The sequence below is a fragment of the Homo sapiens genome, chromosome 16 (genome assembly GCF_000001405.40).
Source record: "Homo sapiens chromosome 16, GRCh38.p14 Primary Assembly".
NCBI classification, from domain to species: domain Eukaryota; kingdom Metazoa; phylum Chordata; class Mammalia; order Primates; family Hominidae; genus Homo; species Homo sapiens.
Genome location: NC_000016.10, coordinates 3600492 through 3626382, shown reverse-complemented (window position 1 = coordinate 3626382; position 25891 = coordinate 3600492). Strand labels below are relative to the sequence as shown.

Here is a 25891-nt window from a genome sequence, read left to right as displayed (position 1 = left end):
AGGAAGTCCTTACCACACTAGCTATTGTCTAGCAGTTATCTTCATTTTGTTCATGCTGCTGAGTTTAGTGATCACTCACTGTGGTTTAATTTGCATTTTCTTTGACTAAATAAGTTGAACACTTCTTCATATACCTGTTGGCCACTCAAGTCTCTTGCCTGTTTTTCTATTTTTTTTTTTTTAGGATTTCTTTAGATATTAATCCTTTGTCATTGTGCATATGATACTAGTCCCGTGCACATCACACACATCTTCTAGTCTGTGGTATCTTTACACCCTTTTTGAGATAGAGTCTTGCTCTGCTGCCCAGGCTGGAGTACAGTGGCAGAATCACGGCTCACTATAGCCTTGGCTTCTCAGGCTCAAGTGATCTTCCCACCTCAGCTTCCAGAGTAGCTGGGACTACAGGCGCATGCCCTGACACCCGGCTAATTTTTAAATTGTTTGTTCAGACAGGGTCCCACTATTTTGCTCAGTCTGATCTCAAACTCCTGGGCTAAAGCGATCCTTCTGCCTCGGCCTCCTGAAGTGTTGGGATTACAGGCATGAGCCACCATGCACAGCCCTTTACACCCTCTTAATGGTGCCTTATAAAGGTTCTTAATTTTAATGTCACATAATTTGTCACTTCTTTATGGTTAGTGGTTTGTGTCCCTGTTTAAGAATTTTTTGCCTACCCCAAAGTCATGAAGATTCCCTCCTATGCCTTTTTTAGCACCTTTATTCTATATTGGCCGTTTCATTTATTTATTTATTTTTTGACACAGGGTCTTGCTCTGTTGCCCAGGCTGGAGTGCAGAAAGGCGATTATGATTCACTGCAGCCTCGACCTCCTGGGCTCAAGCGATCCCATTTCAGCCTACTGAATAGCTGGGAGTAGAGGCATGTGCTACCATGCTGGCTAATTTTATTTAAACAATTTTTTTTTTGCAGCGATGGGTCTCACTACACAGCCCAGGCTGGCCTTGAACCATGGGCTCAGGCAATTCTCCCTTCTCAGTCTCCCAAGTTTCAGAGACTACAAGAATATAACATCATGCCTAGCCCCATTAGTTTGTTTTATTGTTTTTTGTTTTGGAGACAGAGTCTCACTCTGTTGCCCAGGCTGGAATGCAGTGGTACGATCTCGGCTCACTGTAACCCCTGCCTCCAGGGCTCAAGCAATTCTCCTGCCTCAGCCTCCCAAGTAGCTGGGATTACAGGCATGCACCACCACACCTGGCTAACTTTTGTATTTTAGTAGAGACGGGGTTTCACCATGTTGGCCAGGCTGGTCTTGAACTCCCAACCTCAGGTGATCCGCCCGCCTAGGCCTCCCAAAGTGCTGGGATTACAGGAGTGAGCCACTGCCCCCGGCCCCCATTAAGTTTTAATAAGAAAAACTGCAGGCTGGGCATGATGGCTCACACCTGTAATCTCAGACTGTGAGAGGCTGGGGCAAGCAAATCACTTGAGCCCAGTTCGAGACGAGCCTGGGCAACATGGCAAAACCCTATCTCTACTAAAAATAAAAAATAAAATAAAAAATTAGCCAGGTGTGCTGGAAGAAACCTATATTCTCAGCTACAGAAATAGAATACAGGCTGAGGTGGGAGGACTGTTTGAGCCTGGGAGGCAGAGGATGCAGTGACCCAAGTTCCCACTACTGCACTCCAGCCTGGGTGACGACAAAGTAAGACTCCATCTCAAAAAACAAGAAAAGAAAAATTGATTGCAAAAAAATTGTTACACAATGTTTGCTGGTTTGGGCCACCACTGGGAATGGCTTTGCCTGTCTAGATGTTCGGATGCTGAGCACAGTCCACCCAGTTGGACTGCTCCAGGTATAGTACACAGTGGCTGCTAGATTCAGGGTCTTATGGGAACAGCTTCAGCCACTGTGAACTCAGCCAGGGGCGGCAAGGGCATTCTGAAGGTTTAGAGCTCGGCATAAGGGACGCTAACCCAGTGCCTAGAGCACCACCAGGTGCCTTACGCAGCTGGCCAATAACAATTTTAATGTAAAAATAAAAACTCTAGAAGAAAACATGCAGAAAATTACTTTATAATCTCAAAGTAGAGAAGACCTTGCTAACCAAGGACACAAAAGCCACTAACCTTTTTTTTTTTTTTTTGAGACAGAGTCTCACTCTGTCGCCCAGGCTGGAATGCAGTGGCACAGTCTAAGGTCACTGAAACCTCTGCCTCCCGGGTTCAAGCGATTCTCCTGCCTCAGCTTCCTGGGATTACAGGCGTGCACTACCGCGCCCAGCTGATTTTTGTATTTTTAGTAGAGACGGGGTTTCACCATGTTGGCCAGGCTGGTCTTGCACTCAAGTGATCCGCCTGCCTTAGCCTCCCAAAGTGCTGGGATTACAGGTAGTGAGCCACCGCACCTGGCCTCCATACTGTTTTCTATATAGAGGTTATAGTAATTTACAGTCCCATTAACAGCATATAAGCATTTCCTTTTCTGTGCATCCATGCCAACATCTGTTGTTTTTTGACTTTTTAATAATAGCCATTCTGACCAGTGTAAGATGATATCTCACTGTGGTTTTGATTTGCATTTCTCTGATGATTACTGATGTGAGCACTTTTTCATGTTTCTTTGCCGCTTGTATGTCTTCACTTGAGAAGTATGTGTTCTTGTCCTTTGCCTACTTTCTCTCTAATTCCTGGCCTCAAGTGATCCTCCTGCCTCAGCATCCCAAAGTCCTGGGATTACAGGTGTTAGCCACCACGCCCAGCCTTTGCTCACTTACTAATGGGTTTTTTTTTCTTGTTGAGATCCTTGGAGATACTACGTATTAGTCCTTTGCCAGAGGCTTAATTTGCAAATATTTTCTCCCATTCTATAGGTTGTCTATTTACTCTGTTATTTCTTTTGCTGTGTAGAAGTGTTTTCATTTAATTAAGTCCCATTTGCCTATTTTTCTTCTTGTTGCATTTGCTTTTGAGGTCTTAGTCATATATTCTTTGCCTAGGCTAATATCCAGAAGAGTTTTTCCTAGGGTTTCTTCTAAGATCTTTAGAGTTTCAGGTCTTATGTTTAAGTCTTTGAGTTAATTTTTGTATGCGGTGAGAGATAGAGGTACGGTTTCATTTTTCTATATATGGTTAGCCAATTTTCCCAGCGCTATTTATTGAATAGCGTGTCCTTCCCCCACTGCATATTTGTCAACTTTATTGAAGATCAGTTGGTTGCAGGCAAGTGGCATTACTTCTGGGTTCTCTATTCTGTCCCACTGATCTATGGTACAAAAATATGTACAAGTACCATGCTGTTTTAGTTACTGCATGAGTAGCTAGGACCACAGGTGTGCACCACCATGCCCAGCTAATTTTTTTGGGGGGACGTGGGGGGCAGGTACATTAGAGATGGAGTCTTACTATGTTGCCGAGGCTGGTCTCAAGCTCTCAAGAAATCCTTTCCCCTCACTCTCCCAAAAGAGGCCTTGTAGTATAATTTCAAGTCAGGTAATGTGATGCCTCCAGCTTTGAAGAACCTTTGTTCATTACAAGGCATCATTAAGAGAACGTAAAGGTGAGTCAAACACTGGAAGAAGGTATGTGCATACAAGAAAAGTTATTTTACTACAAAAAACTGTAAAGCTCTACATGGAAAAAATTTTATTAAAAGTCAAAGCCAAGCCAGGTACAGTAGCACATAGGTGTAGTCCCAGCTACGTGGGAGGCTGAAGTAGGGGGATCACTTGAGCCCAGGAGTTCAAGTCTAGCCTGGGCAACATGGTGAGACTCCACCTCAAAAAAGAAAAAAAATTTTTTTAAGTCAAATGATAAAAACTGGTAAAAACTATCTGTAACATTGTAACACTATATCCATTTCCACAATATAGAGTTCTTACAAATCAATAGGAAAAAGATTAATCACATAATCTTACAAACCAATAGGAAAAAGATTAATCACACAATCTAAAAGAATGCAAAGCCCACAAACATAAGGTCATAGGTAAACAAGTAGCTTTTAATCACGTGAAGAAAATACTCGTTTCCTCAATGAAAGAAATGTAAAGTAAAGCTACAAGACACCAATTTTTAACCGCTGAAATAGTAAAAGACAAAATGTTTCATGATATATTCTGTGAGTGTGTGGATATGAGTAAAAAGACATTCATTGTTAACGGAATGGAAACTGATTCAGCCTCCGTTTTTTTTTTTTTTTTTTTCAGTCTTGCTCTGTCACCTAGGCTGGAGTACAGTGGTGTGATCTTGGCTCACTGCAACCTCCACCTTCCGGGTTCAAGCGATTCTCCTGCCTCAGTCTCTGGAGTAGCTGGAATTACAGGGGTGCGCCACCATGCCCAGCTAATGTTATATTTTTAGTAAAGACGGGGTTTCAACATGTTGGCCACGCTGTTCTTAAACTCCTGACCTCAAGTGATCCACCTGCCTCGGTCTCCCAAAGTACTGGCATTACAGGCATGAGCCACCACGCCTGGCCAATTTGGCTTCTTTAGAAGGTAACTGGGTAACACCCCAAAACACTCTGATTTACCCATATCCTTTGACCCAGCAATTCCACTTATGTTACAGGAATATCCTACAAATATATGTGCAAATCTGCATAAAAGTATATACAAGTATGTTCAATGCACCATTAGCCATTGTAGAAGGAAATGAAAGCCATCTAATGTCCCTTGATAGGTGATACAATGAAGTATGAATGTATCCAAATGATGACATATAATGCAACTGCTAAACAAAATGATAGATTTATATGTAATAAGGAAAAATCTCCAAGACAGTTCATTAAGTTGCAAAAACGAGGTTCAGAACAATGGGTAAAATGTGCTACCGTTTATTTACATTGGGGAAAAGCAGGGATATATATTTATATTTGTATGTGCACAGAATTATCTGGAATATTTCAAGAAGCCTCTGATGAGGGAGTTTGGAGGTCAGGGGGCCAGAAGTAGGAGGGAATTTTTGTACCCTTCTGAAGCTCCTGGACAAAAAAAATTAACAATGTACAGGTATTCTTTTCTAAAACAGGTAAACCAGGCAAGAGCAATGGCTCATACCTGTAAACCCAGCACTTTTGGAGGCAGGAGGATCACCAGAGGCTAAGAGTTTAAGATCAGCCTGGGCAAGATAGCAAGACCCCATATCTACAAAAATTTTTAAAAGTCAGTTGGGTGTGGTGGCACACGCTTGTACTCTTGGCTACTCGGGATACTGAGGCAGGAGGATTGTCTGAGCCCAAGAGTTCGAGTCTATGCTCGTGCCACTGCATTCTAGCATGGATGACAGCAAAACCCTGTCTCTAAAAAAAATATAAAATAGGCCGGGCACAGTGGCTCACACCTGTAATCCCAGCACTTTGGGAGGCTGAGGCGGGTGGATCACGAGGTCAGGAGTTCAAGATCAGCCTGGTCAATATGGTGAAACCCCGTCTCTACTAAAAATACAAAAATTAACCAGGTGTGGTGCAGGCGCCTGTAATCCCAGCTACTCCGGAGGCTGAGGCAGGAGAATCGCTTGAACCTGGGGAGCGGAGGTTGCAGTGAGCCGGCATTGCGCCACTGCACTCCAGCCTGGGTGACAGAGTAAGACTCTGTCTCAAAATAAATAATAAACTTTTTAAAAAAAAAAATCAGGCAAACCAAACAAAACACACATACCCTTTAGCCTAGAAATCCTAGATTTAGGACTCCTTCCAAAAGAAATAAAAACACACACATACAGGTTATAAGTACAAAGACATTTATTGCATAATCTATAATGATAAAAACTATAAATATATCTTTATCAACAGGGGAATGTTTGATTAAATATGGAATATAATATGGCTTCCTATCTACTGACTTAGAGAAATGCTCATGATGCAATATGCATAGTATAATTACTTTTTTTTTTTTTTTGAGACAGGGTCTCACTCTGTCACCCAGGCTAAAGTAGAGTGGCATGATCACAGCTCACTGCAGCCTCGAAGTTACAGTGAGCTATGATCAGGCCACGCTGCACTCCAGCCTGGGTGACACACTGAGTACTCTGTCTCTAAATAAATAAATAAAAGGTTTCTTTACTAATTATACGAAGCCTTTTGATCTCTGAAATGCTTGTTACCCAGTCACGTGACTAAATGATGTGATGAATGATGTGACTCAATGAATGTAATGTGGTAAATATGACATGTAAACTTTTTAAAAGAAAAGCCATACACAGGCCTGGCGAGGTGGCTCATGCCTGTAATCCCAGCGCTTTGGGAAGCCGATGCGGGTGGATCACTTGAGGTCAGGAGTTCAACACCAGCCTGGCCAACATGGTGAAACCTCATCTCTACTAAAAATACAAAAATTGGCCAGGCGTGATGGCGCATGCCCGTAGTCCCAGCTACTCAGGAGGCTGAGGCAAGAGAATCACTTGAACCCCGGAGGCGGGGGTTGCAGTGAGGCGAGATTATGCCACTGCACTCCAGCCTAGGTGACAGAGCAAGACTCTGTCTCAAAAAAAAAAAAAAAAGAAAAGCCATACATATGAATTTTCGTTATATTTATAACCAATCTGCTGACTCGATGAAATATTTAGTAGAGCTGTAAATGGAAATTAGAATTTTTAAAAATACTGAGGGCCAGGCGTGGTGGCTCACACCTATAATCCCAGCACTTTGGGAGGCCAAGGCAGGAGAACCACTTGAGCCCAGGAATTTGAGATCATCCTGGGCAACATAGCAAGACCTGTGTCTACAAAAAAAATTTTTTTTTTAATTACCTACAGGCGGCCAGGCACAGTGGCTCATGCCTGTAATCCCAGCACTTTGGGAGGCCGAGGTGGGCAGATCACAAGGTCCGCAGATAGAGACCATCCTGGCTAACACGGTGAAACCCTGTCTCTACTAAAAATACAAAAATGGAGCTAGGCGTGGTGGCGGGAGCCTGTAGCCCCAGCTACTCGGGAGGCTGAGGCAGGAGAATGGCATGCAACTGGGAGGCAGAGCTTGCAGTAAGCTGAGATCACACCACTGCACTTCGGCCTGGGCGACAGAGCGAGACTCTGTCTCCAAAAAAAAATAAAAAATAAAAGAAAGAAAGAAAATTACCCACAGGCCAGGCATTGTGGCTCATGCCTGTAATCCCAGCACTTTGGGAGGCCAAGGTGGGCAGATCACTTGAGCGCAGGAGTTTGAGATCAGCCTGGGCAACATGGCAAAACCCTTTCTCTACTAAAAATACAAAAAATTAGCCAGGTGTGGTTTTACATGCCTGCAGTCCCAGCTACTAGGGAGGCTGAGGCAGGAGGATCACTTGAGCCTGGGATGTGGAGGTTGCAGTGAGCTGAGATTGCCCCACTGCACTCCATTCTGGATGATAGAGTGTAACCCCGTCTCAAAAAAAAAAAAATTACCCAGGGGCCCTTCTAGCTCTAGCTACAGGTAGGCTGAGTCAGGAAGATAAGGAAGTTGGGAAGATCAGAAAGATCACTTGATCCCTGGCAGTCTGAGGCTGCCATGAGTCATGATTGTGCCACTGTACTCGAGCCTGGGCAACAGAAATGAGACCTTGTCACTAAAAAAAAATTACAAAACGGAAATAAGCAAATGTTCAGTGTAACATGTATTCCATTCTATACTACATTTTGTTCATTCATGCACTGAAGGGCATTTAGACTGAATATGAGGTGTACACGTTTTTGTTTGAGCATTTCTTCTTTTTGACGGAGTTTCATTCTTGTTGCCCAGGCTGGAGTGCAATGGCACCATCTCAGCTCACCATAAACTCTGCCTCCCAGGTTCAAGTGATTCTCCTGCCTCAGCCTCCCGAGTAGTTGGGATTCAGGCACCCACCACCAAGCCCGGCTAATTTTTATAGTTTTAGTAGAGACGGGGTTTCACCATATTGGCCAAGCTGGTCTCAAACTCCTGACCAGAGGTAATCCGCCCGCCTTGGCCTCCCAAAGTGCTGGGATTACGGGCGTGAGCCACCGCGCCTGGCCCTTAAACACTTTTTCAATTTTTTGGGACATATCCTTAGAAGCGGAATTGCTGAATCATATGATGATTTTATCTTTAACTTGTTCAGGAACCTCAAACTGTTTCCCACAGCAGCTGTACCATTTTACATTCCCTCCAGCAATGTATCAGAGTTCTAACTTCCTTACATCCTCACCAATACTTTTTTTTTTTTTTTTTTAGGAAATGGCTGTCCTACTGGCCATGAAGTGGTATCTCACTGCAGTTTCAATTTGCACTTCTCTAACGATTCATGATGCTGATCATCTTTTCATGTGCTTGTTGGCACCTGCCACTCTTTGGAATGTCTATTCAAGTCCTATGTCCATTTTTTTTTTTTTTTTTTGGTCTTGGCTTCTTCACAGGACAAGTTCTACCATGCCCATTTTCTGAGTTGTCTTTTCATTGAGTTGTAAAAGTTCTTTCTATATTGTGCTACTAGAATGTCTTAGTCCATTTGGGCTGCTCTTACAAAATACCACAGACTGGGTAGCTAATAAACAACAGAAATTCTCACTGTTCTGGAGGCTGGGAAGTCCAAGATCAAGGTGTTGGCAGACTCTGTCTGGTGAAGGCCCACTTCCTCTAATGGCAGAAAGGGTAGGGGGTTTCTCTCTTGGGCCTCTTTTCTTTTTTTAAAAAAATTTTTGTAAAAATGGAGTCTCACCTTGCTGCCCAGGCTGGTCTCAAACTCCTGGGCCCAAGCAATCCTCCCGCCTCCGCCTTCCAAAGTGCTGGGATTACCGGCATGAGCCACCACACATGGCCACAAGGGCCTCCATCCTTATCCTTATGCACTAATCCCATCACCTTGCGGTTGAGGCCTTCACATATGAATTGGGTGGGGGGAGACATAAACATTTAGACAGCAGCATAGATTCTTATCAGGTATATGATTAACAAATATCTCCCATTCTGTGGGTTGTCTTCTCATTTTCTTGATAGTATACTTTTACACAAAAAAGTTTTTAATTTTGATTAAATCCAATTCATTATTTTTTGTTGTTTCTGCTTTTAGTGTCATATCTAGAGTCTACTGCCAACTCCAAGGTCATAAAGATTTACCCTTGTAGTATTCTTTTTTTTTTTTTTTTTTTTTTTTTTTGAGATGGAGTTTCGCTCTTGTTGACTAGGCTGGAGCGTAGTGGTGCGATCTCGGCTCACCGCAACCTCCATCTCCCGGGTTCAAGCGATTCTCCTGCCTCAGCCTCCCGAGTAGCTGGGATTACGGGCGCACACCACCACGCCCTGCTAATTTTGTATTTTTAGTACAGACGGGGTTTCTCCACGTTGGTCAGGCTGGTCTCAAACTCCTGACCTCTGGTGATGCCAAAAGTGCTGGGATTACAGGGGTGAGCCACCACGCCCAGCCTACCCTTGTATTCTTCTAAGAGTTTTATAGTTTTCACTCTTCCATTGGGTCTTTGATCCATTCTGAGTTAATATTTGTACATGATATGAGGTAAGGGTCTAACTTCATTCTTTTGCATGTGATATCCTGTTATCCCAGCTCCATTTGTGGAAGACACTACTCTTTCACCATTGACTAGTCTTGGCATCCCGGACAAAATCAATTGCTCATAAATATAAGGGTTTATTTCTAGACTCTCAATTCTCTTCCACTGACCCATATGTCTATCCTTATGCTGGTACAGTACCACACAGTCTTGATTACTATAGCTTGTAATAAGTTTTGATATAAGGAAGTACGTTCTTGAAAAAGAACAAAGTGGCTATTTGGGTTTTGGGTATTAAGAGCCCCTTGCAATTACATATGAATTTATTTATTTATTTATTTAATTTATTTATTTGAGACACAGTCTCACTGTATCACCCAGGCTGGAGTGCAGTGTTGTGATCTTGGATCACTGCAACCTCCATCTCCTGGGTTCAAGGGATTCTCCCGCCTCAGCCTTCCAAGTAGCTGGGATTACAGGTACCTGCCACCACATCCGGCTAATTTTTATATTTTTAGTAGACATGGGGTTTCACCATGTTGGTCAGGCTGGTCTCGAACTCCTGACCTCAAGTGATCTGCCTGACTCAGACTCCCAAAATGCCGGGATTACAGGCGTGAGCCACCGCACCCGGCCAATTCCATATGAATTTTAACATCGGTTTTTCCACTTCTGCAAAAAAATTAAAACGTTGTTGGGATTTTGATAGGGATTATGCTGGTAGATGCTTTGGGGGGAGTTTTGCTGTCTGAAACCTCCCTTAAATTTGTCTAGCAGAACATATAGAGCAAAATCACACAAAGGCAGCAGTGGCAGGCAGCACACTGAAAGAAATGCAGTGTAACTCATCTCGAATAACTTTTGTATACTTATACACGTAAAAACAGTTATTTCCTGTCCTGATTTCACCAATTTTAGCAGTCTAGAAAATGTGACTATACAACAGTAAATAAAAGTTAACATGATCAAAGAACTCAGGAGACAATTCTTTCCTTGTTCAATCTGCTGTCTCCCCAACCCCTGTCAAGATAAAGGAGAGGGAGGTGGACAGGTTATGGCTTTACCATTTATAATCAAACCACAGACCTGGGATAAGGGCCCTTCAATTCATCCTCCCAACTGTTTAAAACATGAACTCAGTGGAAGATGCCAGAAGCTTTCAAAAAGGAAATATTCCAGGAGGGTAAGGACGTGATCATCACAGCATCTTCAACCTTTGCCTTTTTGCCCTGAACCCAAAAATTACCGACTCCTATGAACTGGGAAAACAGCACATCTATTTGGAATAACACAGTTTTTTCATGTACTTCTGCATCCATTTTCTCTTTCAGATAAACCCTGTAAGGTTTACCAAACACAAGGACTGTCTGCACCTTTTAGTATCTGACATCTTCTTTCATCTCCCTGGTTGTTCTGACAGTGCAGTGGGTTTCCGCCTCAAATGCTGACAGGGAACACACAATACTGTTCCTACTGAAATAACATCCATCTAGTAACACTGTTTCTGAACACTGCCCCTCAACTTAGTCATACTGGGTGACTTCTAACTAACAGCATGAACCCCAGGGCTTCTGCTGGAGTAACAGTCACAATAGGGTCCAGGACAAGGTGGCTGCCATTGTTCACCTTTAGCCCAAAGAAGCAGGTGCCCCAGTTATGGATGGCTTTGTTCATTGAAGGGAGGAATTATGTATAATTGGAAATCCCATGCACCACCCTGACCCAGCTCTTGCCATCTCTCTTATACTTAGCCTACAGTGTTTGTTCAGTTGGTGCTGGTTAAATGCAGTGCTTCTCAATCTTGAGACCATCAGAATCATCTGTGAAACTTTCAAAAGACACAGGTTGAAAGATTTATTCAGTAGGCCTAAGAGTAGTGTCCCAGCCTTTCCAATTAAAAAAAAAAAATTCCACAGGTGATTCAGTTGAGAATCTCAGGTTTAAGAAAACTCTCTTTTCTAAACCACACTTCAACTAATTTATTTTATGTAAATAAATAATATAGCCAGATTTGGGGTTGGGGGAGAGAGGTAGCAAAGACTTTCTTCACCAGGACTCTAAGAGATTTAAATCCTAAATAGGAAACAGGCACTTCATTTTCAGTCTGACTGGAAAACAGTAATTTCTACCATTACAATTATCCTTCATAACCCAGCCATGTCCATGTTTATTAGATGTTTAAAAAAATTTTCTGTATCCTATGATATTTTGAAATCTTAATAAATCTTGCTGGCAGGGAGACTGCCTCTCCCAGGTCTAATTCCTCAAGACAGTAAACAACTTACTTGGGAGCATGCCTCTCACAGGCAAGTCAGCCTCCCCCCTTTATCTAACTCTCACACACCAAGCCAGTATTTCTCCTGCCCTAAATCATCCATGGCCAGGTACCAAGCAACTAGAGACCACCCAAAGGCAAAGCGTGATGGAATTATTTAAATTATCCAATCCTAAAATGTTTACTCCGCCCTGACTTGCTATTTCTGAGGAACCCCATAAAGGTTCTGGCCTAGACTTTCTCCTTGTTCCTATTTCTTCCTCCTAACCAAAAGCTGATGTCTCCCTTGTGGCTCTGAACGTGGTGGCACGCCTCCTTTTCTTGAGAAATGTAAGTAAATTATTTCAGGCCAGGCGCGGTGGCTCACACCAGTAATCCCAGCCCTTTGGGAGGTCCAGGCAGGAAGATCGCCCGCCTGATGTCAGGAGTTTGAGACCAGCCTGGCCAACATGGTGAAACCCCGTCTCTACTAGAAATACAAAAAATTACGCCGGGCGCGGTGGCTCACACCTGTAATCCCAGCACTCTGGGAGGCCAAGGCGGGCAGATCACGAGGTCAGGAAATCGAGACCATCCTGGCTAATATGGTGAAACCCCGTCTCTACTAAAAATACAAAAAATTAGCCAGGTGTGGTGGCGGGCGCCTGTAGTCCCAGGTATTCGGGAGACTGCGGCAGGAGAATGGCGTGAACCCGGGAAGCAGAGCTTGCAGTGAGCCGAGATCACACCACTGCATTCCAGCCTGGGCAACAGAGCGAGATTTTGTCCAAAAAAAAAAAAAAAAAAAAAAATTAGCCAGGCGCGGTTGCGGGCGCCTGTAATCCCAGCTACTCCGGAGGCTGAGGCAGGAGAATCGCTTGAACCAGGGAAGTGGAGGTTGCACACACCACTGCGCTCCAGCCTGGGCAACAAGAGCCAAACTCCGTCGAAAACGAAGCAAGGAAGGGAAGGAAGGAAAGAGAAATTATTTCAACAGCACTGGCCTCTCCATGTCGTCACTCAGTCTCCTCTATAAATTCAAGTCCCAAGACACCCTGCCCTACCCTTGCCTCTGGGCTGCTTATCATTCTTGTTCTGTCTTCTTTATCCAGTTGGAAACCATATTACAAACTAACTTAGATTTCCAAGCCAGAGAGCAAGTAAACACCTCCTAAATCCTTCATCAAGGAAAACCTCTTGGAAGGTTTTGAAGCTCAACATTCAGAATCAAATGTAGTCTTACCCAGTAATTCCACTCCTAGAACACAAAAACTTGTGTTATGAACACGAATGTTCATAGCAGCATTATTTCTAACAGCCAAAAAGTAAAAACATCCATATGCCCATCACCTGATACATGGATAAACAAAACATGGTCCATCCAAACACGTGATTATGCAGCCATGAAAAGGCATGCAGTACTGATTCATCTACATGGATGAAATCTTGAAAACATGCTTAATAAAAGCCCAGCAGAAAAAGCCAAGTATCACATGATCCCATTTACATAAAATGTACTGAATACGCAAAACCACAGAGACAGAAAGCCGATAAGTGATTGCCAGGGGATGGGGTCGGGGGAATTGCGGAGTGACTACGAATGGGTACGGCAGGTTCGATTTGGGGTTTTAAAACGTTCTGGAATTAGCGACGATGGCTGCAAATCCTGTGAACGTACTGGAAACCACTGAATGTACACTTCTAGTGTGCATTTTATGATACTGTATCTTTTAAAAAACATATTGTCTGCCCTGCAAACTGATTCCTTTACACCTCTCCTGTGTTCATTATTTCAGTGACTGGAGGCACACTACTCTCAGATGTTAAGGCCAGAAACCGGCAAATCGTTAACAACTGCGTCTTGACTATGCTCCATATTTCTCCATTCTTTTCGCTCCACCTCCTAATTCGGGCCGCTCTCACTTTTCATCTAGATTATGTAATAGCCTCCTAATGGGTGTCCTTGCCTCATCTGTTCTCACTGTAATTAGGCCTTTAAAAACAAAATCTTACGCCGGGCGTGGTGGCTCACGCCTGTAATCTCAGCGCTTTGGGAGGCCGAGGCGGGAGGATCTCTTGCGGCCAGGGCTCGAGACCAGCCTGGGCAACATAGTGAGACTCCCCCCCCCGCCCCCACCGCCCGTCTCTACTTAAAAAAAAAAAAAAAAAAAGCCGTGAGCGGTGGCTCACGCCTGTAATCCCACCACTTTGGGAGGCCGAGGCGGGCGGATCACCTGAGGTCAGGAGTTGGAGACCAGCCTGGGCAACAGAGTGAAACCTAGTCTCTACTAAAAACACAAAAATTAGCTGGGCGTGGTGACTGGCGCCTGTAATCCCAGCTACTTGGGAAGGTGAGGCACAAGAACCGCTCGAACCCGGGAGACAGAGGTTGCAGTGAGCCGAGATCGCGCCACTGCACCCCAGCCTGGGCAACAAGAGCAAAACCCCGTCTCAAAAAACAAACAACAAAAAACCTTCAATGGCTCCCGACGACCCCAAGTTGAAGCTCAAACCCTTAATACGATGTGTAAAGTCCCTCAAATACCAAGCCATGGCAAACCTCTGCTACCTTTCCCCCAGGCCCTGGCTGGCTTCACCCTAGCCCTGCGGAAGAGCTCGGGCATCCCCTCCAGGCACCTGAAGCGCGGCAGAATCCCCTCTTCACGTAGCTAACCCTCCCCGACCTCCAGGCCTCGACTCTCACGCCACCCCACCTGAGAGGAAGCTTCTCGGGCCCCCAGGCCAGATTTGGTGCCTCTCCCGGTCCCCCTCACACCGTCCACTCTCCGCTCCACAGGCAGGTATGCCCAGAGGGGGCCGCCGTTGTATCCGCGAACATTTCCTGAGCCAGCTGGGGAGGAACCAGACTTTATCTCACAGCTGCCACAGTGCCTTAAACTCGCCCTAACTCTTTCTCAAAAACTAACAGACTCCACCTGAAGCAAGCGCCGCTTCCGCCTCGCCCCGCCTCCTGCCGACCGGAAGCGCTGGCCGCCGCGGGCCCGCGCCCGGCGCCGCAGAGGAAGACCGGAAGCGAGGCTGCCGCACCACCGCGCGCGCCCGCTCTGCGCCTGCGCGCAGGCAATGCTCCGCGGGGGCGCGGGCGGCGCATGCGCAGGCGCGCGAGTCTCCGTTAAGAAGGTGCCGCGGCGGCGCCGGAGGTAGGAGGAGCCGGGCTGTGGGGCTGGGAGTCGGCACCCGGGAGGCGGAGGTCCTGTCATTTCGGGCCGTTCTCTCTTTCCTAAGGGAGAAGAGCCTTTCTCGCCCGTCTCCCTCGCTGGCTCCGTGGCCTCGGCAGGCCCGCAGCCCCGACGGAGAGGCAGGAGCCGCACTCGGGTGGAGAGGGGCCGGGGCCCGCCTGGAGGGAGGAGGGTGGCGGATCCGGATCCCCACGGTGGTCTCCGTCCGGGCCAGTCCGGGGATCGGGGTTCTCCGTCTGACTTTAGAGCCGTTAGAGTCTTTGGCAGCCCTTTTCCCAGACGGGGAACCCCTCAGCCCCTTTCCGTAGGTCGCCGGGTTGGGGGAAGCGGGAGGGTCCGCCCCTTACCGATCCATTCATTCATCCCTCGCCTGCTGTGAGCCGTGGGCTGCGGTAGGTACGAAGCAAGGAGGCACAAGTCCCCTTCCCTCTGGAAACCTGCAGGCTTGCAGGATCCGTTATGTCATTCAGTAAATCTTGACTGGGCACCTATAGGAGGAGATAGACTGTTGTGAGGTTCATATCAACAGAGATGCGGAGATCAACACAGTTGTGGAGGTGGAATTTGTTCCAGCCGCTCCCCGCATCCAACAGGATAAAATTCACTTTGCCTAGCCTGACCTTCCAGGCCCTTGTGAGCCAATCCTTTCCTCTCCCCGCAGCGTTTTCTCCTACACCTTTCTCTCTACTCCCATTATACCGAACTCTTTGCAATTCATGAATTCAACAAGTAGTTGTGGAGCACTTATTTCAAGTCAGGCACCAGATCAGCCAAAGAGGTTGCAAAGTAATAGATGGATCTCTACCCTCCTGAAGTGTTGAGCTTAATGGGGGACAGATAATAAGCCGATGAATAAAAACACAAGAGCGGATAGTTTCGAACCACACTTCCTGGGTTTGATCCCAGCCCTGCCACTGTGAAAGCTGTTCCTGAACTGGCTTTAGGCCAGTTCCTCATTCTGCTTGCGCGTGTTTCCTTGCCGTAAAGACAGGATGACAAGAGATTCCACCATATAGGCTTCTTGTAAGGATTAAACGAGTTTGACTTGGAAAGCAATTGGAACAGTGCTTGGCACACAGTAAGCATTCGATAGATATTACCTGTTTCATATGATGATAACCTATGACAGATGCCATTGTGAAAACAGTGGGCGATGATAGGGATTAACGGGGATGGAGACGGTCCATAAAGGATTAGAGGACACTTCTCTAAGGGGAAGACACAGAAGAGAATGCGCCAGCCATACAAAGTAGATTCTAGGTAGGAGTATTTTCAGCTCTGGAAAACAAAATGATTAATTAGATTCCTTGGACAGTGGAGATTGCATTATTGTATTTGAAAGGAATAACTTTCTGCCATTGGGTCATTCAGTTTTGATTTTTGAACCCCACTTAGCTGTGTGCCAAAGTAAACAACCATGCTCACGAGGCCCAGCCTTTGCACACAGGCGACATTCCAGTCATCCAGGTTTGGAGAGCCTTGCTGGGTTGAGAAGATAAGTAAAAGTGACCTTTTCTCTCCTGAGTGTTCATGAGAATATAATGTCTCTTTCTGTCTCTTATGTTGCAGTATTTACAGAAAGAGCCTCTTTAACAGCCAGGGGTCTTAGATCAGTGTAGGAGATAGTTTTCCTAGATTTGGGGATCATCCTGTTTCTGTGGTGACTGCCTTTTATGGGGTTTGCTCCCTAAATTTCAGTTAAGAAAACACTCTCCCAAGATGCACATATTTTAATACCTGTGGAAGAACAACATGCTTTGACAGGTTTCTAGGTCCTTTTGTTGTGATGTCTGATAGGACGGTTAGACCATGTTAACCAGGCTGGACTGAGTATTTGACAGTATTGTTACTCCGAAGACTTTTCCCTCACCCCACATGCCCTTGTCCCTCCCTGGAAGAACTGGCATAAAATGACAATGTCTGATTACACTTACATGCTTTTGGTTTTCCACAGATGTGTAATTAAGTGAACCATATATGTTTCATCATCATGGAGATCTTGGAGAATTATCTGAGCACCAGGTTCATATGTATTCGATCTCAGAGGCATCTATTGGACAACAAAACACTCTTTCAGTTGTGAACTTTATTTATTTATTATTATTATTTTTTGAGACAGAGTTTTGCTCTTGTTGCCCAGGTTAGAGTGCAGTGGCACGATCTCGGCTCACTGCAATCTCCGCCTCCCAGGTTCAAGCGATTCTCTTGCCTCTGCCTCCCGAGTAGCTGGGATTACAGGCATCTGCTACCACGCCTGGCCAATTTTTTGTATTTTCAGTTGAAACGAGGTTTCACCATATTGGCCAGGCTGGTCTCGAACTTCTGACCTCAGGTGATCCACCCCCCGCCTCGTCCTCCAAAAGAGCTGGGATTACAAGTGTGAGCCACCGCGCCCGGCCCAGTTGTGGACTTTAACAGAGGGAAGCTTTAAACATGTTTAACCACAGGCCCAATTTGAACAAAGATACTTCAATCATTATAGAGAGGAAAACAGTACTTTTTGTTCAATTGTGCAAACTCTCCAAGTATCTAATGGAGAAGTAGAGAAGAACCCTAATGAAACTGAGTGTGAATGAGGCTCAGCTAGGCTTCTACTTGGGTTCACTTTCTCATCTGTCTGCCTGTCCTGGGATTGACCCTCGCTCCTCTGAAGACCAGCCTGAAAGCCTTAAAACTGGTCAGATGATGGATGAGTCTGATGAGGACTTTAAAGAACTCTGCGCTAGCTTTTTCCAAAGGGTGAAAAAACATGGAATCAAGGAAGTGTCAGGAGAAAGGAAGACACAAAAGGCTGCCTCAAACGGCACTCAGATAAGAAGCAAATTGAAAAGGACCAAACAAACTGCTACCAAGACCAAAACCCTTCAAGGCCCTGCAGAGAAGAAACCTCCGTCTGGCAGCCAGGCCCCTAGGACTAAAAAGCAAAGGGTAACCAAATGGCAAGCAAGTGAACCGGCCCACTCTGTGAATGGGGAGGGGGGTGTGCTTGCCTCTGCTCCAGATCCACCTGTGCTCCGGGAAACAGCACAAAACACCCAGACGGGTAACCAGCAAGAACCATCGCCAAACCTTTCCAGAGAGAAAACCAGAGGTAATTTGTACTCTTTTAAACCAGGGGCTGGAAAACTTCCTGGAAAGGGCCAGATCGTAAATATTTTGGCTTTGTAGGCCACACAGACTCTGTCACAACTACTCAACTCTGCTGTCATAGTGAGAAAGCAGGCGTGGACAATATGTAAATGAACAGGCATGGCCATATGCCAGTAAAACTTTATTTACAAAAACAGGCAGCCAGCCACATGACCGTAGTTTGCTAACTTTTGGTTTGTTTTTATTTTTTAATTTTTAAGCTTAAAAAAAAATTTAGAGCTGGAGGTCTCACTATGTTGCCCAGGCTGGTCTTGAACTCCTGGACTCAAGCAATCCTCGTGCCTCAGCCTCTCAGAGTGCTGGGATTACAGGCGTAAGCCACTGCGCCCGGCTGACTCCTGGTTTAAACAACAGTCAAGAAAAACATAACCCGTGTGAATTTTTCACATGATTGTGTTTGGAGTCCTCTGCTCTTTCAGAATTTCCTATGAAATTCTGTTATATGATTGACATGAGTTACACAAACAACACAATAATGCTGCTTCTCTTGTTTTCTTGAATTTATTCCAAAGTGGGTAAGTTGGACTGGGCCAGCCAATTTGGATAGGCTGCTGAGAGGGCCGCATGAGGACTCTGTGTGGGCTCAAGTCCCAGGAGAATCTTCAGGTTCTTTCTTTCTCTCTCTGAAGACCTTTTAATCTTTTCCTTTGTTATTGTTATTGATTTATTTACTTACTTAGTTTTTAGAGACAGGATCTTGGTCTCTCACCCAGGCTGGAGTGCAGTGGTGCTATCATAGCTTACTGCAGCCTTGACCTCCCAGGTTCAAGCAGTCCTCCCTGCCTCAGCCTCCCGAGTAGCTGGGACCACAGGCACCCACCACCGTGCCTGGATAATTTTTTAACTGTTTAAAGCAGTTTTCTTGCCCTGCTGCCCTTGGTATACTGAGCTATATGCTTACTACACATTCTTCATGCAAAACTGAAAACTACCCTTGCATATATAATACACCATGGGCTCTCTGAGCTCCTGAGTTCTGTTTCTAAATTTCCTTTGCCCTCACTTCCTGATCTTAATAACCTCTCAGTAGAGTGGTGGTAGAGTCTCAGGTCGCATAGACTACTGGAAGGCATCAGCAGTGTTGCCTCACCAACTTTACTGGTCTCTCGTGCTCTTTGCCAGTCGGATGAAATCTATGCATGGTTCCCCCAAAACACGTATCCATGCGCGTATCTGCAAAACTGGCACACAACTTCATGGGGTTCATGGATCCCCACTGAAGATCATCCGTGGATCCCAAGTTAAAGAAGAACTGATCTAGGACATAAACCTTTGTCATTAATATTTCTTTAATAATAGCTTTATTGGGGTATAATTGATATTCCATAAAATTCACCATTTAAAAGGGTATGGTTCAGTGGTTTTTAGTATATTCACAGACTTGTCCAACCACCACCACTACCTAACGTTAGAACAGTTTTATCATCCTAAAAATAAACCCCATGCTCATTAGCAGTCACATCCCATTCCCCTCCTGTTATTGATATTTATGTCTATATTGCCATAAACAAAGAGGTTACCAACAAGCAACCAGTCCTCTTCACATTTGTGAGTCAAACCTAAACTAGTTGATAAAGGACTCTTGAAACTTGCGTCTAACCTGTATCTGGTAGAAAAGTCTTTTATTTCTCCAGCTACAACAGATGGTTGTGAATATTTTCCTCCTTGCCAGAGAATGTGCCCAACAGCGACTCCCAGCCTCCTCCTTCCTGTTTGACAACAGCAGTGCCAAGTCCCTCCAAACCCCGCACAGCACAATTGGTCCTACAGCGAATGCAGCAGTTCAAGAGAGCAGACCCCGAGCGTTTGAGACACGCTTCAGAAGAGTGCTCCCTCGAGGCTGCGCGGGAAGAAAATGTCCCAAAGGATCCTCAAGAGGAGATGATGGCGGGGAATGGTATGATGAGTGTGTTTCTGTCTTCCACACAGAGATAAGTTAATACAACTCTGAGGAAGGGAGGCGGGAAGGAATCAGCATTTGTTGAGTTTCTTCTGTGGATAGGCTCTCTGCTTGATGTTTTACCTTTGCCACTTCACTGGATCCAGCCAGAGAATGAAGAGTCTCTGGGATCATTTCCCACCTAGCTTCCTTGATAAGGTACCGTTTTGTTTTTTTTTCTGAGACAGAGCCTTGCTCTGTCACCCAGGCTGGAGTGCAGTGACATGATCTCAGCTCACTGCAACCTCCGCCTCCCAGGTTCAAGCAATTATCTTGCCCCAGCCAGTGGGATTACAGACGTGTGCCACCACACCTGGCCAATTTTTGTATTTTTAGTAGAGACAGGGTTTCGCCAAGTTGGCCAGGCTGGTCTCGAACTCCTGACCTCAAGTGATCTGCCTACCTCAGCTCCCCAAAGTGCTGGGATTACAGGCGTGAACCATTGCACCTGGCCCTCTTCCTTTTTTTTTTTTTTTTTTTTTTTTGAGATGGAGTCTCGCTCCGTCACCCAGGCTGGAGTGCAGTGGCACGATATTAGCTCACTGCAAGCTCCACCTCCCAGGTTCACGCCATTCTCCTGCCTCAGCCTCCCGAGTAGCTGGGACTACAGGCTCCCACCACCACGCCTGGCTAATTTTTTGTATTTTTAGTAGAGACAAGGTTTCACCTTGTTAGCCAGGATGGTCTCGATCTCCTGACCTCGTGATCCACCCGCCTTGGCCTCCCAAAGTGCTGGGATTACAGGCGTGAGCCACTGTGCCTGGCCTCCTTTTTTTAAAAATTATGACTTTTTATTATGAAAGCTTTCCCTTTCAGTTTTTTCCTTTTAAAAAGATAACCCTCAGTATTCACAAAGAACTCTTCCTTTCAGAAAAGGTTTTTTTGTTGTTGTTGTTTTAATTACAATGAAGCCAGGCATGATGGCTCATGCCTATAATCCCAAAACTTTGGGAGGCCAAGGCAGGAGGACTACTTGAGGTCACAAGTTCGAGACCAGCCTGGACAACATAGTGAGACCCCCATCTCTACAAAAAAATTTTAGGGGCCAGGCGTGGTGGCTCACGCCTGTAATGCCAGCACTTTGGGAGGCCGAGGTGCGCAGATCACAAGGTCAGGAGATTGAGACCATCCTGGCTAACACAGTGAAACCCCATCTCTATGAAAAATACAAAAAATTAGCAAGGTATGGTGGTGGGTGCCTGTAGTCCCAGCTACTCGGGAGGCTGAGGCAGGAGAATGGCGTGAACCTGGGAGACAGAGCTTGCAGTGAGCCGAGATTGCACCACTGCACTCCAGCCTGGGCAACAGAGCAAGACTCTGACTCAAAAAAAAATTTTTTTTTAATTAGCTGGGCATGATGGTGCACAACTGTAGTCCCAGCTACTCGGGAGGCTGAGGTGGGAGGATTGCTTGAGCCCAGGACGTTGAGCTGCAGTGAGCTGTGATTGCATCATTGCACTCCAGGGCAACAGAGTGAGACCCTGTCTCAAAAAAAAAAAAAAAAAAATTACAATGAATCCCCTAATCCCCTATACCTCAATCTAGATTTAACAAATGTTAACATTTGGCCATTTGTTTATGTCTTTATAAATATACATTTTTTTTTTTTTTTGAGATGGAGTCTTGGTCTGTCTCCCAGGTTGGGGTGCAGTGGCGCAATCTCGGCTCACTGCAAACTCCACCTCCTGGGTTCAAGCCATTCTCCTGCCTCAGCTTCCAGGAAGCTGGGACTACAGGCATGCACCACCACGTCCAGCTAATTTTTGTATTTTTAGTAGAGTTGGGGTTTCACCATGCCGGCCAGGCTGTTCTGGAACTCCTGACCTTGTGATCTGTCCACCTCAGTCTCCCAAAGTGCTGGGATTACAGACGTGAGCCACCGTGCCTAGCCAAGCGTACATATTTTTCTTCCATATTATCTGAAGGTAAATTATAGACATTAGGATCCTTTACCCCTAGATTCTGCTGCATAACCACAATACCATTAGCACGCTTAATTCCATAATAGTGCCTGGCGTCCAGTTCAAACTCAAATTTCCCTGGTTGTCTCAAGGTTATTTTTTGTAGCTGGTTTCTTTTTTTTCTGAACAAGGATTCAGTAAGTTCACACACTGCATATTGCTGTAGCTCAGCAGTATCCTAAGGTCTAGATTCTAGAATAGTCCCCCATTTCCTTTTGTTTTCCATGACACTGACTTTTTTTTTTTTTTTTTTTGACAGAGGCTTGGCTAGAGTGCAGTGGCACAATCTCGGTTCACTGCAACCTCTGCCTCCCAGGTTCAAGCTATTCTCGTGCCTCGGCCTCCTGAGTAGCTGGGATTACAAGCACCCACCACCACACCCGGCTAATTTTTTTGTATTTTTACTAGAAATGGGGTTTCACCATGTTGCCCAGGCTGGTCTTGAACTCCTGAGCTCAGGGGATCTGCCCTCCTCAGCCTCCCAAAGTGCTAGGATTACAGGTGTGAACCACCACACCCAGCCCTATGACACTGAGTTTTTGAAGAGGCTAGGCTAATTGTATTATAAGATTTCCCACTTTCTGGATTTATTTCTTTATGGGATCGTTAACTCCTTCCTCTAACCATTGGGTTGCCCCACTCTGAGTAGATTAGAGGCTCATTGGCTGCAGGTGAGACAGGGTGGCGACAGTGCCCCATAGCTGCTGTGTACTTGGTGTGGCACCGGCCCAATAAGCGTAATAATGCCAGGTGCTCCTGTTCTCCATCCCCAAAACAATATGGATTCTCATCTCTGATGAAAATATACAAAAGGAAAAGAAATAGGAAGAAACCATTATCGGCAGACCTACAGCTAATAAGTATGCAGGATCTTGGCATTGCATTGCAGATTTCACTGCAGTAGCACGGAGGAGTCTCAGGCCACCCCAGGGTCCACAGCAGGCAGTGATTTGATGTCCTGCCGAGGCATCAGTCCTGGACGCACATGTGAGTTGCAGAGGAGGCACCCAGCTGGTGTGAGCTCCGCCCCTGCCCAGCATTTGACTCAGTTCTCTCTGTATCTTCACATCACACCCAGCAAGTGCTCAGAAAGAGATAAACCATTTGTTTGTTAAGAAACCAAACCAGGCTGGACGCGGTGGCTCACGCCTGTAATCCCAGCACTTTGGGGAGGCCAAGGCGGGCAGATCACCTGAGGTCAGGAATTCAGGACCACCCTGGCCAACATGGTGAAGCCCTGTCTCTACTAAAAATTAGCCAGGTGTGGTGGGCACCTGTAATCCCAGCTACTCAGGAGGCTGAGGCAGGAGAATCGCTTGGACCCGGGAGGCAGAGGTTGCAGTGAGCTGAGATCGCGTCGTTGCACTCCAGCCTGGCGACAGAGTGTGAGACTCCATCTCAAAAACAAACAAACAAACAAAACAGGGCACCAAAATGAAGGTGTGCTGTTTTGCTGGCCTCAGTGGCAGGCACTGGTAGGCCACAGCCATGAAGAACTTGGGGATTTATGAGGCGTTCAGGGCATATCCCTTGTGAGTGACAGGGGTCTGCTCCAGCAATATCAGATGGGCCACCCTGGGAGCCATCTCAAGACCAGAATCAGTCCATTCTTGAGTCTGATGCTAAGTAAGAGATGCTGCCTTTTAAACGCCAAAGGCATTTCACTCTGCCCTGGTTTTATCATGGGCAGTAAAAGGTCAGCAGGAAAGGGTGAGTTTTGAAGAGAACATCTAGCTTTGTTGGAATATGAGCCTTGTGAACTTGCAATGCCCGAGGTAGCCAACTTCAGCAGAAGTGGGAAAGTTTAGGTCCTTGCTACTCAGAGTGGTCCTGTGCTGCCAGCATCGCCAAGCCTGGAGGCTGCTAGAAATGCGGAGAGTCTCAGGCTGCACCTGGACCCCTTGAATTTGAATCTGAGTGTCGACAAGCTTCCCAGGTAATGCATATCCATGTTAAAGTTGGAGACGGCTGTTCCCGGAGTGCTGATTAGTGCCCAGTCTCACTGGACAGTGTCCAAGTCACCAGCCTGCAGAGTGGAGCTGGGTTCTGGTTTCTTTGCGTTCCACCTGCTCCCCATGGTCTGCAGGAGCTGACAGAGCAGAGGTCTGAGGGTGAGCTTGTCTTTGGAGTTTATTCTCACGGATCTTTGGTGCTTCTCCACAGTGTATGGGCTTGGGCCCCCTGCCCCAGAGAGCGACGCTGCGGTGGCCTTGACCCTGCAGCAGGAGTTTGCACGGGTAGGAGCATCGGCACATGATGATAGCCTGGAGGAAAAGGGTTTGTTCTTCTGCCAGATTTGTCAAAAGAACCTCTCAGCCATGAACGTGACCCGAAGGGAACAGCATGTGAACAGGTGGGGGCAGCTTGGGCCGTCGCCTCTCCCGTGTATGTGACCAGAATCCCCAAGCACCCCAGGGCTGGAGTGCGGATCTCCACACCTTACCATGACAACAGCACCTCAGCTTTGTTGTCAACCTACCCCTTTTTAAAAATAACTTCGTTGAGATACAATTCACAGAACATATAGTTCACCCATTTAAACTGAACAAATCACTACTTTTGGGATATTCACACAGTTGGGCAACTGTCACCACAATCACTTCTGGATTATTTTCATCACCCCCAAAAGAATCCCCACACCCATTGGCAGCCACTCCCTATTGCCCCTCTCTCCCCTGACAACCACTAATCAACATTCTGTCTGGATGGATTTGCCGATTCTGAAATTGCACAGTTGTCCTTTTGTGTCTGCCTTCTTTGACTTAATATGTTGTTTTTGAGGTTCATCCATGTTGTAGCATGGAGCAGGCTTCATTCCTTTTTATGGCTGAGCAGTATCTCATTGTATGGCTAGACTGTGTTTTTCCCATTCTTAGATGAGGAATATGACCATGGTTTATCCTTTCGTCCATTGGCGGACATTTGGAGCATTTCTACCCTTTGGGATTGTGGATAGAGCTGCCGTGAACATGGGTTTCATGTATTTGTTTGGGTACCTGCTTTCAGTTCTTTGGGGTCTCTACTTAGGAGTGGAATTTCTAAGTCATCATGTAACTGCATTTAATCTTTCCTTGCTTTCTTTAGCCAACTTTGCTGACAGATACCTAAGTGTAGTGTCTAGGGGCTGACTGCCGGGAGACGGAGCCAGGCTGTGTAGAGGGGATTGGCTTTGGGGAACTTGCTTTGACCACAGCACGTCTGTGTTGACCTGGACCCACATTTGCTCCAATCCACATTCCTGGGGAGGGTGGTTCTCCTGTATTGACTGTTTTCCTTCAGGTGCTTGGATGAAGCTGAAAAGACACTAAGACCTTCTGTGCCTCAGATCCCTGAGTGCCCGATTTGTGGGAAACCGTTTCTTACCTTAAAGAGCAGAACCAGTCACTTGAAGCAGTGTGCTGTGAAGATGGAGGTTGGCCCCCAGCTCCTGCTTCAGGCTGTGCGGCTGCAGACAGCACAGCCTGAGGGTAGCAGCAGCCCACCCATGTTCAGGTAAGTCGACGAAAAGGAAGAAAACCAAGCCAAATAATGCTGTGTGCACTCAGGGCTTTTTCTATTTAAAAAAGCTTTTTATGGGCTGGACGCAGTAGTTCACACCTGTAATCGCAGCACTTTGGGAGGCCAAGGTGGGCAGATCACCTTAGATCAGGAGTTCGATACCAGCCTGGCCGACATGGTACAATCTCGTCTCTACTAAAAATACAAAAATTAGCATGGTGGCACATGCCTGTAGTCCCAGCTACTTGGGAGGCTGAGGCAGGAGAATCACTTGAACCCAGAAGGTAGAGGTTGCAGTGAGCCAAGATCGTACCACTGCACTCCAGCCTGGACAGAGTGAGATCCTGTCTCCAAAAAAAAAAAAAAAAAAAAAAAAAAAAAGCTTTTTATAGTGTTGGAGGGAAAAAGAGCCCTCTTTGATTCTGGAAATGAAACACTTAGGGCGGAAATCGGGCACAGTCTAGAAGGGAGTGAGGAGGGG

At 46.0% G+C, this 25891-nt stretch overlaps 2 protein-coding genes across 14 annotated transcripts in view, besides 3 other annotated features; one reads left to right on the top strand and one right to left on the bottom strand.

The window, feature by feature from the left end:
- The window catches only part of DNASE1 (deoxyribonuclease 1), a 53702-nt gene extending 39079 nt beyond the window's left edge, over positions 1-14623 (bottom strand). For all 9 annotated transcript variants that reach the window (XM_024450170.2, NM_001387140.1, XM_047433677.1 and 6 more), the window contains exon 1: positions 14377-14623. The gene's annotated coding sequence lies outside the window, so the exon portion shown is untranslated. The remainder of the gene's footprint in view (positions 1-14376) is intronic.
- Positions 290-389: an enhancer, noted in NCBI's record as "active region_10331". NCBI's record gives its function as "activates an Ori minimal core promoter by ATAC-STARR-seq in GM12878 lymphoblastoid cells {active_cell/tissue: GM12878}" and the evidence as "EXISTENCE:reporter gene assay evidence [ECO:0000049][PMID:35858748]".
- Positions 14460-14529: an enhancer, noted in NCBI's record as "active region_10330". NCBI's record gives its function as "activates an Ori minimal core promoter by ATAC-STARR-seq in GM12878 lymphoblastoid cells {active_cell/tissue: GM12878}" and the evidence as "EXISTENCE:reporter gene assay evidence [ECO:0000049][PMID:35858748]".
- Positions 14570-14919: a silencer, noted in NCBI's record as "silent region_7137". NCBI's record gives its function as "represses an Ori minimal core promoter by ATAC-STARR-seq in GM12878 lymphoblastoid cells {active_cell/tissue: GM12878}" and the evidence as "EXISTENCE:reporter gene assay evidence [ECO:0000049][PMID:35858748]".
- Positions 14777-25891, top strand: part of SLX4 (SLX4 structure-specific endonuclease subunit) — a 30426-nt gene continuing 19311 nt past the window's right edge. For 3 of the 5 annotated variants that reach the window (XR_007064923.1, XM_011522715.4, NM_032444.4), the window contains exons 1-5: positions 14777-14823; positions 16817-17953; positions 19685-19909; positions 24076-24265; positions 25192-25404. Coding sequence is in view for 3 of the 5 variants with exons in the window: in XM_011522715.4 (XP_011521017.1) it covers positions 17419-17953; positions 19685-19909; positions 24076-24265; positions 25192-25404 (1163 nt within the window). In the remaining 2 variants the exon portion in view is untranslated. Of the gene's footprint in view, positions 15255-16816; positions 17954-19684; positions 19910-24075; positions 24266-25191; positions 25405-25891 lie in introns of those variants that run through there. The other 2 variants (XM_024450471.2, XM_047434801.1) reach the window with 2 other exon arrangements.